Source organism: Homo sapiens, chromosome 12 (assembly GCF_000001405.40).
Source record: "Homo sapiens chromosome 12, GRCh38.p14 Primary Assembly".
Lineage (NCBI taxonomy): Eukaryota > Metazoa > Chordata > Mammalia > Primates > Hominidae > Homo > Homo sapiens.
The window spans coordinates 11,062,395-11,076,368 of NC_000012.12; the positions used below are offsets into that span (position 1 = coordinate 11,062,395).

General features: G+C 37.3%; 2 protein-coding genes and 1 long non-coding RNA gene across 5 annotated transcripts in view, besides 2 other annotated features; all 3 read right to left on the reverse strand.

Annotated features, from left to right (window-relative positions):
- The window catches only part of PRH1-PRR4 (PRH1-PRR4 readthrough), a 325,777-nt gene that overhangs the window by 216,546 nt on the left and 95,257 nt on the right, over positions 1–13,974 (reverse strand). The gene's annotated exons all lie outside the window — the stretch shown is intronic.
- Positions 1–13,974, reverse strand: part of PRH1 (proline rich protein HaeIII subfamily 1) — a 290,647-nt gene that overhangs the window by 181,430 nt on the left and 95,243 nt on the right. The window lies entirely within an intron of this gene.
- Positions 1–13,974, reverse strand: part of PRH1-TAS2R14 (PRH1-TAS2R14 readthrough) — a 234,202-nt gene that overhangs the window by 124,985 nt on the left and 95,243 nt on the right. The gene's annotated exons all lie outside the window — the stretch shown is intronic.
- Positions 5,223–5,423: a silencer, noted in NCBI's record as "peak1573 fragment used in MPRA reporter construct". NCBI's record gives its function as "represses an SCP1 promoter by STARR-seq MPRAs in K562 erythroleukemia cells {active_cell/tissue: K562}" and the evidence as "EXISTENCE:reporter gene assay evidence [ECO:0000049][PMID:32103011]".
- Positions 8,857–9,551: an enhancer, noted in NCBI's record as "OCT4-NANOG hESC enhancer chr12:11223850-11224544 (GRCh37/hg19 assembly coordinates)". NCBI's record gives its function as "activates a minimal SCP1, AML or CMV promoter by ChIP-STARR-seq in naive H9 embryonic stem cells {active_cell/tissue: H9 hESC(naive)}" and the evidence as "EXISTENCE:reporter gene assay evidence [ECO:0000049][PMID:30033119]".

The window sequence follows — 13,974 nt, forward strand, 5'->3', positions numbered from 1 at the left end:
TGTATGTGCTGTGACATTCTTTTTACTTTTAATTGCTGTGACCAGTGTCAAGCCAGAAATCACCATGGCATGCTAATGGGTAAGTTCAACGCTCTCTTTATGGAAAATATTCTTATTTTCAAAACAACTCAAATTAACCCATTCATTCACTGTCTGTCCTTGTTATAGGCTGGAATTATTCATACTGAAGTTGACATGAAACCTGAATTCTCATTTGCTAGTATGCAAACAAGGACATATTCACTTTCAGTGTTTGCAATTTTTCCTTGTGTAACCTCTCCATCATTTGTCTTTAGTGACTTCAGTTGTTAGGGAAGTTTTATAACCCAATACAGAGATCATATAGTAAATGTCTAAATTCTTAAAAGGAGCTTGGTCATAATTAAGTTCATCACCTATATGGACTTTTTTAAATGACAGATTTAAATACACAGAATCCAAACTGCTTTTATCAAAAATATCTAAGATTTTCTGGAGAACCTCAGAATCTGGTTGCTGCTAATACGTTTGTATAACTTCATTATTCACAAGCTCATAAATACACACACAAACACACACATGTGCACACCACTCACGAATGGAACAAATTATTTTCTCATCAGTTCCAAAATAAAAAAAGGAGTTTCCAGGAGGTTGTCTAGGTGAAGTTAGTCCTATTTTCCCACTCAGGGCTTTCAGCTCATGAATAATATTTATTTATCAAACATATCTCTAATTCTTAGGCCTTTGGTAAAGTTTCTCTCAAGACTAATGTTTAAATATTTATTACTATACAAAACATTTAGCAATTGTATAAGAATTCCTGAGTACCCAACCCTTTGATATATAGTCTTGCAGTATCCTGCCATCACTGAGAAGGCTGACTACCTTGCCCCTGAACTTGGAGTACAACCATTTAACTTGCTTTGATAAACAGAAAATTACTACACTTTGCATAGAGATTTCAGATGGCTTCCATAATGGGGATTCTTCCTCTTTCCATTTACCATGAGAATATCACCTGGCTAGTACACTGTTCCCAGAAGGAGAGTGAGAAACTAATGAAGTCAGATTGCCCCCACCTGATCCAGACCAAATTGGCCAAACTCTAACTACTACCAAGATTCAGAATTTGGTCCATTTCAAATAAACAGAGCCATCCACCAAACCCAGCTTAAAAAAAATGAAATCCAACAACATGTGAGATATAAACATCTAATGTAGTTTGGAGGGTTTTTCTCTTGCAGAAAAACATAACTGATAAATCAACTCTGCTAAACCAAGAGTGTGGGAAATATGTACAACCTTGTTGTGTCAGGAATTCAGGAGCCAAAAGCAAAAACAGATGGGAAATTGCAAAGGTTTGTTCTTGTGAGGTCGATAATTAAGGCTAGAAGAAATCCATTGGAAAGTTCTGGGGTTGGAGGATAACATCATCTCAAATTTCCTCACGTTGCAACTAAATAAGAAAGTGCTCACTTCAACTCCCTTAGAGTTGTATAACAATGTATACAAATAGTTTATTATTGCCATCAGTATATAATGAGATGAATAATAATAATTTCTATGAGACATATCTCCTAATTAAACATTTTACATTAAAATTATAATGCACACTTAGAAATGAACCAAAACAAAAATGGGAAATACCGCAGTGTATCATAAACATTCAAGTAACCATGATGCAGGCAAGACAAGGAACACCAAACACAACCTAGGTCCACCTCCATGCCACTTTCCAAGTCCCTAAACATTTCTTCATACCTCCTGAGATAAGCAATATCCAAAATTTATGGTGATTATTTCCTTAATTTTCTTTACACTTTACCAACTAGGTATGCAACCCTAAACTCCATCGCTTGGTCTGGCCTGCTTTGCACTGCGTGTAGGTGCAATCCTACATGTTCTTCTTGTTTGTGGCTTCTTGGACTCAACATTGTGTTTCTGAAATTTAGTCACATAGTTGCAAGTACATGTGATTTTTTTTCACTTCTCTATACTGTTCCATTGTGTGGATTTACTGTAATGATTGATCTATCCTTAATATATATTTGGCCAGCTTCTTTTTTGAACAGTTACGAATAATTCTACTAGAGCATTCTTTCATATATCATTTGATGCAATTCCTCTGTATATATACCTTTGAGTAGAATTACAGGGTCATTGTGCAAAATATCCTCATAGACATAGAAAAGTTTAAAAGATAATTTAACTAAATGTACTCCTGTCAGCTTTACCTCCATTCTATTTTTTGCCATTTGCATGTATCTTATCAATTATATAATTACCCCAACAAGACATTATTATTTTATGCAGTAAACATTCATTTAGAATTATGCACATATTTACCACTTCATTAATTTGTATTCCTTTTTGCATATTCAATTTAATAGTTTCAAAAAGTCCTTTTATTGGCAAGGCAGGGTGGCTCACACCCATAATCTCAACATTTTGTAAGGCTGAGTCAGGAACACCCAGGAGTTCAAGACCAGCCTGTGCAACACAGCGAAACTGTGTCTACAATAAATGAAAAAGCCAGGCATAAGGAAGCTACTCACAAGGCTGAGGTGGGAGGATGGTTTGATCCCGGGAGTTCCAGACTGCAGTAAGCCATGATCCTACCACTGAACTCCAGCCTGGACACCAGATTGAGACTCCAACTCCACATAGAATAATACTGATAATAATAATAATTTTTCTATTATCTGAAAAAAATATCATTTTAAGTTTCTGTTTATCAAGGTCTATTCTACTTTTGAAATGCACTGAAGGCATGATTCCATTGAATTCTAGCTTCATTTTTGTCTGTTGAAAATCAGGTTGTCATTTAGACAGTTATTCCCTTTAACATAATCTGTCTTTTCCTTTAGTTACCTTTCAGGTTTTTTATTGGTCTTTGATGTCCTGTCATTTTATATTAATTTGGTTTTAGTTATCTTGTCTGAAGTTTGATGGTTTCTAAAAATATATGAACTGATACACTTTACCACTTTTGGAAAAATCTCCACAATGCTTCTGGCCCATTTTCTCTCTTCTAATCTTCTGGAACTGCAGAAGTATGTTAGTTGTTCTGATTGTAGCTTCAATGTCTCTGACCCTCTAGCCTTATATTTTCTACCTCTTGGTCTCTTTATGCTTCATTCTGGGCAGTTATCTTCCAATTCACTAATTCTTTCTTATGTTTAACTGGTTCTCAACTCTGTCTATTGGATTCTCAATATTCATTACTCTTTTTTATCTTATTGTTTTAGGGGTAGAAATGAACTTTTATTCTCTTGCTATAAATCATTTTTTAATGGAGAAACTAAACAAAGTATTTATAACACCAACTTCTTAAAAAATAGTTTTTGTAAATTTTTAGCACACCTGACATGAAAATTGTAGTGATTTTCTTCTTTTTGTAATACTTAGGTCACAGAAGAGATTAAAATTATGGTCTACGCATTCTCCTGCAACTTGGAAGAAACTGGAAATTGATTTGATGTGAGTAGCTTTTTTTGGATAGTAGCTTGTCTGTTGCTGGGTCATCACCACAAACTCTCCTCACAGGGAAATTCAGTGAGCAGCACTGGATCTCAAAATGTCATTACAATTAATAAAATATAATATCTCAACCACAGCTCCACCTTTCTATTCCATGATTTAAATTTTACTCTGTTTTTATTAGCAGAAATCAAGACTTCTTCATTTATAACAATCTTTAAAAGATCAAAGAGTAAAACAGTACATACAAGTTTATGAAAGATTGAAGAACTTTAAGTCTCATGGAAACAAAACTGAATCTGGTGTTTCTAAAGAATTCCACCATTTAATCCCTATCCGTGAGTATAGTTTTGTTTATAGAACTATAACTTTCGAACTCCACCATCACTCACACAAGTGTGACAGAAGATCTGAGGTCTTAACTCTGTTTGACTATTTGGTCCTAAAATCCTCTCTTAGAAATAAAAGCTAGCTCATAAAATGTATCATTTGCTTTGTCCTTCTTACTGGTTAGTTTTAGTTACACTAAAATCTAAATTGTTTCTATAGTGATCATAATGAAACAAAGATTAGTTTAAGCTCATCTATAAATAATTATTTGCTTAAGCAATATATTGTAAAATAAGCTATACTTAATTTCTAAATCTACATGTATTGAGCATGACTAAGCTTTGCTGTTTACTCCTGTAACTTTCCCACAATGATGGTCTTTTAAAAATTACTTATTTTCCAAATTATGTATTTAAATATTTCAAAAATATATCATTTAATGAGATAGATGTATATATAGATGATGATGATAATAATTATGGCAGGTAAAAGGGAGAATGCTATTTGATAAATGTGATTTCCATCTTGTTTTTTAAGTACTGGAGTTCAGGGTAGTGAGAGAACCCTACTATTCTTCCTCATGGCCTCATGTTTCTTCTATGATTCTCAGCATCAGGCCTAGAGAAGTATCCTCATGTGGTAGTTCATCAAGAATAATGTAAAACCAACATATTTTCAAGAATTTCTTTGCTTCTTTTTCTTTTACTACATTTTAAAAATTCATAGCAAAAGTGACATCCAATAATTAGGATTCTATTTTGGGGCTTTTTGGGCATTTTTCAATATGAATATAGAAAAATACTCTCTGCAATAATACAGTATATCAACTTCATTTCATCTTTTAATAGCATCATTAGCAAGCCAAATTCTTGCAAGCCTTTTTCACATTCTTAGCTATGGTGACTAAATCTGGATCATTTTACTATAGCAGTGAAAGTAGCATTATATATGCACAAACATGCTCAAAGATCATGCTAAATATGTTTTATACCTTAACAAATTTGCCTTTCTATGATTTTTTTCTCCAATGCAGAATCAAAAAATTTATATTAACAAAATATTTTACCCAACACACAGGTGTACACATGATTAGTATTGTGAAATTAGAATGCTAACAATATGAATACAAATATTTCATTTAGAGACACATTTTGGGATAATAGGTCTATATATTTAACCTCCATCATACTATAATTTATTGGAAATTCATGACTTTGTGACACTTTGACATGTGTATTATAAATAATTAAATTGGAAATAAGAAAAAAGGTGTTTAGCTGTCATAAATATTCAAGTTTTGATGTTTCAAATTCATATTAGCATTAAGAAGGTGGATTTACAGTTCTTGCTTATGTCTTCTTTTTAAAAAAATATTAATTTAAGAAAAGTTTCAGGGCAGGTCTAGTGGCTCACATCTGTAATCCCAGCATTTTGGAAGGCTGAGGCAGTTGGATTGCCTGAGCACAGGAGTTCAAGTCCAGCCTGGGAAACATGCCAAAACCCTGTCTCTACCAAAAACAGAAAAAATTAGCAGGGCGTGGTGGTGCACGCCTGTTGTCCTAGCTACTCTGGAAGCTGAGATGGGAGAATTACTTGAGCCTGGATAGCAGAGGTTGCACTGAGCCAAGATTCTGCTTGTGCACTCCAGCCTGGGCAACAGAGAGAGACCCTGTCTCAAAACAATAAGAAAAATTTTAAATTTTAACTTGGATTTCTTAGTACCATAATGCTCTATTCTCCTTTATTCAGCAAATACTCTAATAACAATGGTATCTATAAGAATATGCTGTATCACCCTAATTTTATATGTAGGAATGTATTTTATGTTTCTGCTTTTTTAACTTTTTTTTTTTATTGGGGAGCATAACTTACATATGGAGCATAATAAAACCTAATAAACAGTAAGAGAAAAAATTATAACATTAACATCGATGTTACCACACCTTGGTCAGAAAATAGAATTTGCCAGTAATCCAGACACTCCCAATATATGTCTTCTTGCTGATATTTCCCGTTTATCTCCTCCCTCCTGATTATCCCAATTGTTATGATGATCACTCATATGTTTCACTGTAGAGTTTTATCACCAATGTAACAAATTACAATATATTAAAAATATTTTTCTTGAACTTTATGTAAATGAGATTATACTGAATGTATTTTTCCATCTTGATAATTCCTCTCACATTTGTGAGTATTATTATCTATGTAGCTCAAATTTGTTCATTTTCTTTGTTGTATTATTCTGTTGTAAACATGTCTGTCTAGTTCATTAATTTTGATCACTGTATAGTATTCCATTGTATAAGTATGCCACAATTTGTTTATCCATTTGGAGGTCTGAAAGACATTTGGAGGACATGCATAAAGATAAATTTATATTCTTATTTCATACCATACACAAAAAATAACTCATATTTGATTATAGAGCTATACGTAAAAGGTGAGATTAGTAACTAAGATACTAAAACATACTACCTGTACAACTGCAAGTAATATAAGTGGGTTAATCAACCATAATTCCATCTGTATATTTCTCTACTTAGATCATTATTTCTATAATAATAATAATCCCCTGCATAGTAATCTATCAATATGTATAATGCTATTTTAAATAAAACTAAATTAGATGGTGGGTCACCCTCACTCTGATTTAGTGGAAATTCAAGCAAAAATATTATTAATACTCCATCTTTTCCCTTAGATTTTTGGTATTATTACTTCTATTTTTCATTTTTTGAGACATGGTCTCACTCTGTAGCCCCAACTGGAGTGCAGTGGTTTCGGATTGGCTCACTGCTCTCCACTGCTCTCTACAGCTCCCAGCCTCAAGCTATCCTCCCACCTTAGCCTCCCAGGTAGCTAGGACTGCAGGTGGACACCACCTCACCTAGCTAATTGTCATATTTTTGCTAGAGACTGGGTTTCACCATGTTTCCTAGGTTGGTCTCCAATAATTGTGCTCAAGAAATCTGTCTACCTAAACCTCCCAAGGTGCTCAATTACAGGCTTGAGCCACAGCATCCAACCTGGTACTGTTACTTCTAAATGTAAATTTGACATTTGAAGGAAAAATATTTACATAATGTGCTATATGCCAAGATGTGTGAATAAATAATTAATATAAATGGATAATCACCCTTACGCTTGTCTGTTAACTGATTTGGCTACATTGTCAGTAAGGAGAATACATGAGATCACCAACACAACAGGCATCATTGCAGAGATTGTAGAATTGAGATCTTGGGCAATCTCATGTTTTCAGTTTAGAGACAAAAGACAACTAGCAAAGGAGAATGAGAAGTGGAGTGGTGCCCAGTGAACAAAGATAAAATCAGGAAAGGGCATCATCCTGAAATGCAAATAAACTACGTTCAATGTGGCTAATAGAGCATGCAACATGAAGACTAACCTTGGCAACATAGACTCTGGTGATCTTGGAAACGTCAGAATCAATGAAACGATGACAGCAGTAGCTTCATTGGAATGAGTTCATAAGCCAATAGTTGAAGAGGCTTCACACTTTGATAAATACTTATAAACCAAGAGCAAAATGGAGCTGAAAAGCTCATTCCTGAGGTCGGCCTTTGAAGTGGAAAATCAAGAAACCTCAACCAGTTGTCAGGACTGAGCCAATTCCAAGAACAAGAATTCAATAATTGAAGGGAAGCTTAAGTCCCCTTGATAACAGATGCTGAAAATTCACCACAGAATATTCAGAATGTATTTATATGATGCTTTCTCAAAGACCTGCAGCCATTTCCTAGATAAACAGTACCCAGAGGAAAGGACACACATCCATACCATCTGAGACTTTTAGGTATAGGGCTTTTACAGTACGTAGTTAGTCAGGCATGAGTGGGGCAGAAGAGGGCTCCCACCACCCACAAGGAATGTCAGGTGGCCATCAGCTGATGCCCTGGCAGTTGACACCCTGCCTCTCTAAAAATAATAATTGGTCACAGGCGCCAGGGAGAGGCAATTTCACAATAAATAAAAACGCTTAAAATTGGTAGTCAGCAGCTCAGGAATAGGGTGAGTAGGCTAAGGCATGCGTGTTAAGAGAGAAAATGGTGGAATATGACCTTCTGTGGGCATTCCACCAAAAAAGGGAAGAATGCCTCAGGCAAGCATGTGTACAACTCCAGTAAACACACTGCGCATGCTCACCTCCAAAGTGTTAGCAGGCTACCACACATGTGAGCAGCCCACCCTAAGGGGCTGAATCATGGGAAAAGGAACACAAGACCCCAGAAGTATACCAACATATAAAACCACAAGTCAAAGATCTAACACTGCACTTGATCTCCAAAGTGCCCGCTGTGGTCTCTTCCAAGTGTCTTCCAAGAGACTTCCAATAAAGTCTCTTCCTTTCTTTCCTGCTCTCTTTTTAATAAACTTCCATTCCTGCTCAGAAACTTCCTTCAGTCTCTTCTTACTTATGCCCCTCAGTTGAATTCCTTCCTCTGGGGAGGCAAGACTTGACGTTGCTGCAGACTCGTATGAAATTGCCACCAGTAAACCAGATATTGGCCACCCCAGCAGAGCCTGAACTAACACTAATTATCTAGGTACCCAAAAGACACTGTGGTCCATGAGATGGAGTAGGAGATTTTCTTTTTAATTTTCTTTTGTTTTCTGTGTTATTTGCGTTGGCTTTTTCAGAGAGACAGTCTCAATCTGTCACCCAGGCTGTATCTAGTACAGTGGCATGATCATTACTCACTACAGCCTTGAATTCCAGGGTTTGTAACAGATTGCCCCATTTTTTTCTAAGAAAAAGAGAATGAATTATGATTTTTATTATTATTTTCTCTTCTCTCCCCTTTCCCTTTGTTCCCTGTATCCTGCTTAGCCATTCATAAATGCAAATAGAACCTTTCACCCCCACTCACTAGACATTCCCTGCAGGGCACATTTTTCTAACTATGTGCTCCGAGACCAATCTCTCCTGAGAACTGACAGTCAATTTGCAGACCAAACACACCCACCACAGAATTTTTACCTCCAGGAAGTGGACCAGGAAATTCCAGGCTCTGCTCCACTCTAGGAATTACCTAAGGACTTTCATCCAACAGGAGGGCATATGGAAAGCATACCTACTTGGCCACTTTTATAATGTATTTCTGCAAAGGCAGGTGCCAATTCAACTATCTGGTAGTGCAGGGGTTCAGTCAGAATGGTAGGGAAAATTATAAAATAAAAAAAAGACCTTCTTGGAAGACCAAAAGTTTTTGCATAACTTCAGATAGTTTGGCTGAAGGCAGCCAGTCTCTTTGCCAGAGCCAGAGCACTTTGGGCACAGACACAAAGGAATGTAGAGTAGTTTATCTAAAGAGCTTGTTTACTCAGGTAGTCCTAAAGCTAACCTTTCATCACTCACAGGCAGGATTGCTCTCCTGGGGGAAGGTGACAGAGTTGATTACCCTCTAATGGTGTTGACTCAAAGTTTTTGTCATTTAATGTGTTCTAAATAAATGCCAAGAAGGCCAGCAAGTTGGGGCGGCAGCTGACAGCACTCTTCCTTAGAGTCTGTTAAGTGGCCCGGATGCTCGGCTGGACTGACAAGCAAAACATACATGTCGGTGTATGTTATTCCTCTGTCATTGAGTCAGGGTCTGCTGGACAGACCCCTGCATGGTAGAAAAGGCACCAAGCTTGCAGGAGGACCCTCTACCCTTGCTCAATAACCCCCCTTACCTTATAAAAGTGTCTGCTTTCTGCTCCAAAGGTGAAGTGGTACACTTAAAGGCAGGACTCTTTGTGCCCCTTCCCCAAGCTAGGTTTGAAATAAATTCATTACTTTTGAACCAGGCCTCACTCTTTTTAACTGGATTCTGGATGCCACCAGCAACTGACTCGCATATTGTTTTCAGGTTCAAGGGAGTATCCTGCCTCATCCTTCTGTGTAACTGGGACTACAGGTGAGCACCACCATGCCAAACTAATTTTTGTTGTTGTTTTTTCTTTTTTTAGTTTTTGTAGAGACAAGCTCTCACCATGTAGCCCAGGGTGGTCTGGAACTCCTGGCCTCAATAGATATTCCCAACTGTGCCTACCAAAGTTCCGGGATTGCAAGCAAGAGCCATCATACCAAGCCTGCACTGGGAGTTTTTGAAGGTCAGATGCTACCTAGATTTTTGACTCATGTACATCCCAAGGTGGATCTAATCAGTTTGCTGTTATTACCTCTTCCTGAACATGTAATTGAAATGGACAAACATGGCAGCTGGCAGGACTCTCACCTTCTTCCTGACCTGCAGAGTAAGGGACACTATTAGAGCAGGACCAAGGCGAAGCCTGCGAAATTCTCCTCCACTGGCAACAAGGATTGAAAAATAATAATCACATTCTCCAAGGAATGGAATTGATCACTACCATGACAAAACACTTGAAAGTTACAGGGGATGGTAGTCTTTTTACATCCCTCTCCACTTAACCTAAATGGCCTCTACCAAAATCAGATACATTATAAAATGAGGGCAGAGTTCCATAAATTTAAATCACTACTTACAAATGCTCTCTAGGATGTGGTATCTTCCCTGAGCAGAGCAGAGCTTCTGGCACTTTGCATGTGGCTCTCGATTAAGTGAATATTTCTTGTTTTTCACCCACGGGTGGGTCGGGAGATTAAAACAGTTGGCCTTTGTTTGGTAAGAACGAAAGTGCTGCTTCACTGTTTTATGTCAGGGCGATGTCACTTCTGCTCTCAGTTTAATTTACATTTTGCAAAACATCATGTTAATTTATTAATAATGTTACAGTAATTGGTGCAATAACCAGGAAATGGAAAGGTCCCTAAATATAGTAAAATACTTGAACGTTAAATAGAAATAAAATACTAGCAGAAAGAGATACACCTGATAATATTTGGAAACCTGCAACATAGATATTGTTTTTAAGGTCTCATATTCCTGGTCTACATGTCGAAAAATCCATTTATTTATTTATATATTTATTTTTGAGACAGAGTCTTGCTCTGTTGCCCAGGCTAGAGTGCACTGGTGCCATCTCGGCTCACTGCAAACTTCGCCTCCTGGGTTCAATCAGTTCAAATCCTTCAGCCTCCTTACTAGCTGTATTTACAGCCATGTGCTACCATGCCTGGCAATTTTTTTTTTTTTTAAAGTAGAGACCTGGTTTCACCATGTTAGCCAGGCTGGTCTCAAACTCATGGCCTCAAGTGATCTGCCCACCTTGGCCTCCCAAAGTGCTGGGATTACAGGGGTGAGCCACCATGCCCAGCAGAAACATCCTTTTTAAAGTAAGTGGCCTGTTGCCCTATAAATACTTCTTATCACTAAAAGAGAAGCACAGTGTTTATTGACTCTCTTGGGGTTTTGGAGTCCACAAATACCACAATAGAGGATATTGCTCTGACTTGTTAATAAAGTCCTTTTTAAATCCCTGTTCAGTTAACCTACCTAGCCTCTGCCAAAACCAGATGGGTTACAGAATGAATGCAAAGACTAGTGGTTTCAAGTGGAATCCAGAACATAAGATATCTCTACAGCAGGTATAGGCTGTGGCCCAACCTGCTCTGCCCATTGAGTCAGATGATCCAGCAGAATTCAAAGCTGCTAGAGGCATGCATCGTGGGCATTATAGGACTCTGTGCCTGTCTCCATCAAGCCCGTAGGAGAGGAGAAAGCAAACCCCTAGGGAATTACTGCAGAACTATTCCCTCTTCAGCGGAGGAGTATCTGCTGTCTGAAAAATAAAAATGCAAGTGCAGAACATTAATCCAAGCAAAAAGCCCCTCAAGCACAAGACTGCGTGCAACTACACAAGGCATCTGCTTATAAAACCAGCCACAGTTGGAGGGCATGAGCACATCTGAGTGGCACAAGGAGGGGACTATATTGGACACAAACATGTGCTTCCTCAGATTCCCTTGACTCTCTCCTGTTCCCATGGTCAGCACCTTGCCTGATCCAGATCACCTTTCCATCTGGGACTTGAATGTATCTGTGGGCATGAAGTCTTGTAACAGAAAAGCTTAGTTGCTCACTTCATGTAAAGTCTAATTAAAAAGAGCACAGTCTGATACAAAAATAGAGAACTTATTTGGAGATTAGTTTTGGGGAAGGAGCATAAAGCATCCTGCCTTCTAATGTGACACTTCACCTTTGGAGCAGAAAGTGGACATTTTTATAAAGTAGGGAGGGAAATGAGCAGGACAGCAGTTGTAAAAGTGGCCACCTGAGCATCCTCTCCACATCCCCTCCTAATGGGTGTGAGGTCTAAGGGGAACCGCTGGAGGTGAGAGTTCCATGAGGGCATACTTTTGTCTGCAAATCAACTGTCAAGTCTCAAGGAGAGATCCCTCTTGGAGCACATAGTTAGATGAACTTGCCCGAAGGGACTGTCTGGTGAGGGGATAGTAAACAGTTTTGTGCATTTCTAAAAAGTTAAGTAGAAAGTGGGAAACATAGGGAAAGGGGCGAGGAAAAGAGACAAAAAATTAAAAAAAAAACAAAACAAGTATCTCTTAGAAAAATGGGGGTATTGGTTAGTCTGACTTTCCCAAACAGCCACCAAGGGGTTGGATAATGTAAGGAAGAAAAGCAAAGATGGTAGTTCTGCCACAAAATAACTTTGGCCAAAGGTAAATAGAAAACAAAAGACAGCTAGGATACATTCTCCCTTTTCTCTCTTCCATGGACTAATATTTGCTGTGGTTTCCCCTTGTAACCCTTCTGGAAAAGTACCGGGAGCCAAGTGCATGTATCTGATGATCACCATGCTGTCTGTCTCACCTCATTGTGAAGTGACAACGGCAAAGTCATGTCAACATCATGATACATGGTTTTACATCTTCTTTTGCCTCAGTTTCCACATTTACCCCTCATTGCTACCCTGGACTTGCCTTCCCAAATAAATGTCATCACTGTAAACTCAGACACTGGCTCTAGTTCTAGACACCCAAAGCTAAGATATACATTCAGTTGCATCACTTTTCCATGCATTTATAATATGGCAATTAAAACATTCATTTAGAAAGGATACTAAAATATATATATAAATAATGTGTAAGAAAGGTGACTCGTTACTAACTCAATTTTTAAAAGCGAAATGCCATCTTTGTGTATATAGTAACCAGCTAGAAAATATCATAATACAAATATATCATTCACAGTAGAAAGTGATTGGGTACATTTACAAACAGCTTAACCAGTTGCAAAGTTTGCTAGCTTTTTTTTTTTTTCATTTCTTTTGTGTTCACTTCTTTTGTATCAGCAAAGCATTGAAGGCAGCATAAGTCATACTGAGGGAGAAAGAGATGTTCCCTAAAAACAAGAGTGTGTTTGGCAGCTGCTGGGAAGTTCCCTAACATTCTTGTGATGGGGTCTGCTAACCCCGAGCAGCTGGCACTCACAGCTGAACCTGGCCCTGTGCAAATATACCAGAATCCTTTATATGCTTTTCAAAAAGTATTACAATAAGTGCCATCTAATTTTGACATTCCACCTTGTCTCTACTTCACACACCTGATATAGCTGCATCAAAGCTATATTACAGTGATACTTCCCCTAGAATTGGGGAATAGCCAAACTTTTGCTCTGAGAAATGCTTCTTCTTTGATAAGCCTATAACCTCAACCTGAAACTAGAAAATTCAAGCAACTGCAGATTTTGTCAAGAGTTTCGTTTTCACTGGTTTACCACATCAAATTATCCATTTATCCAACCACTAATGTGTTCATTAACGTATCATTTTTGACCAACTATTCTTTGTGCTGGCTTTTAGATCCCGTGAGTCCAGACAAAGCAAGACAGATATGACCTCTCTTTTTATGGTGATTACATTGTACTAGGGAAGATGCATGATAAATAAAATGTGTGTGTATATATATATCAGATGTGGATCTGATACATATATATGTGGATGTAATATATATATATATATCAGATGAGGAGTTGACTTATTTTAAGTTTTACATAACAATGTTAAAATCTCATAACACCAAGAATTAACACAGTCATGCAGAATTTAGCTGTTCAGCAAGGCTGTACATTTCCTTCTTATAATAGAACTTGGTATCAATGGATACATCAACACACTTTGTGTCATTTCACCATTTACACCATTATAATAAAACATATCATTAATACATTTCCTATCATCAATATATAGATTTCACAGATAATTTTTAACATTTAACGAAAGTTTAACATTTAA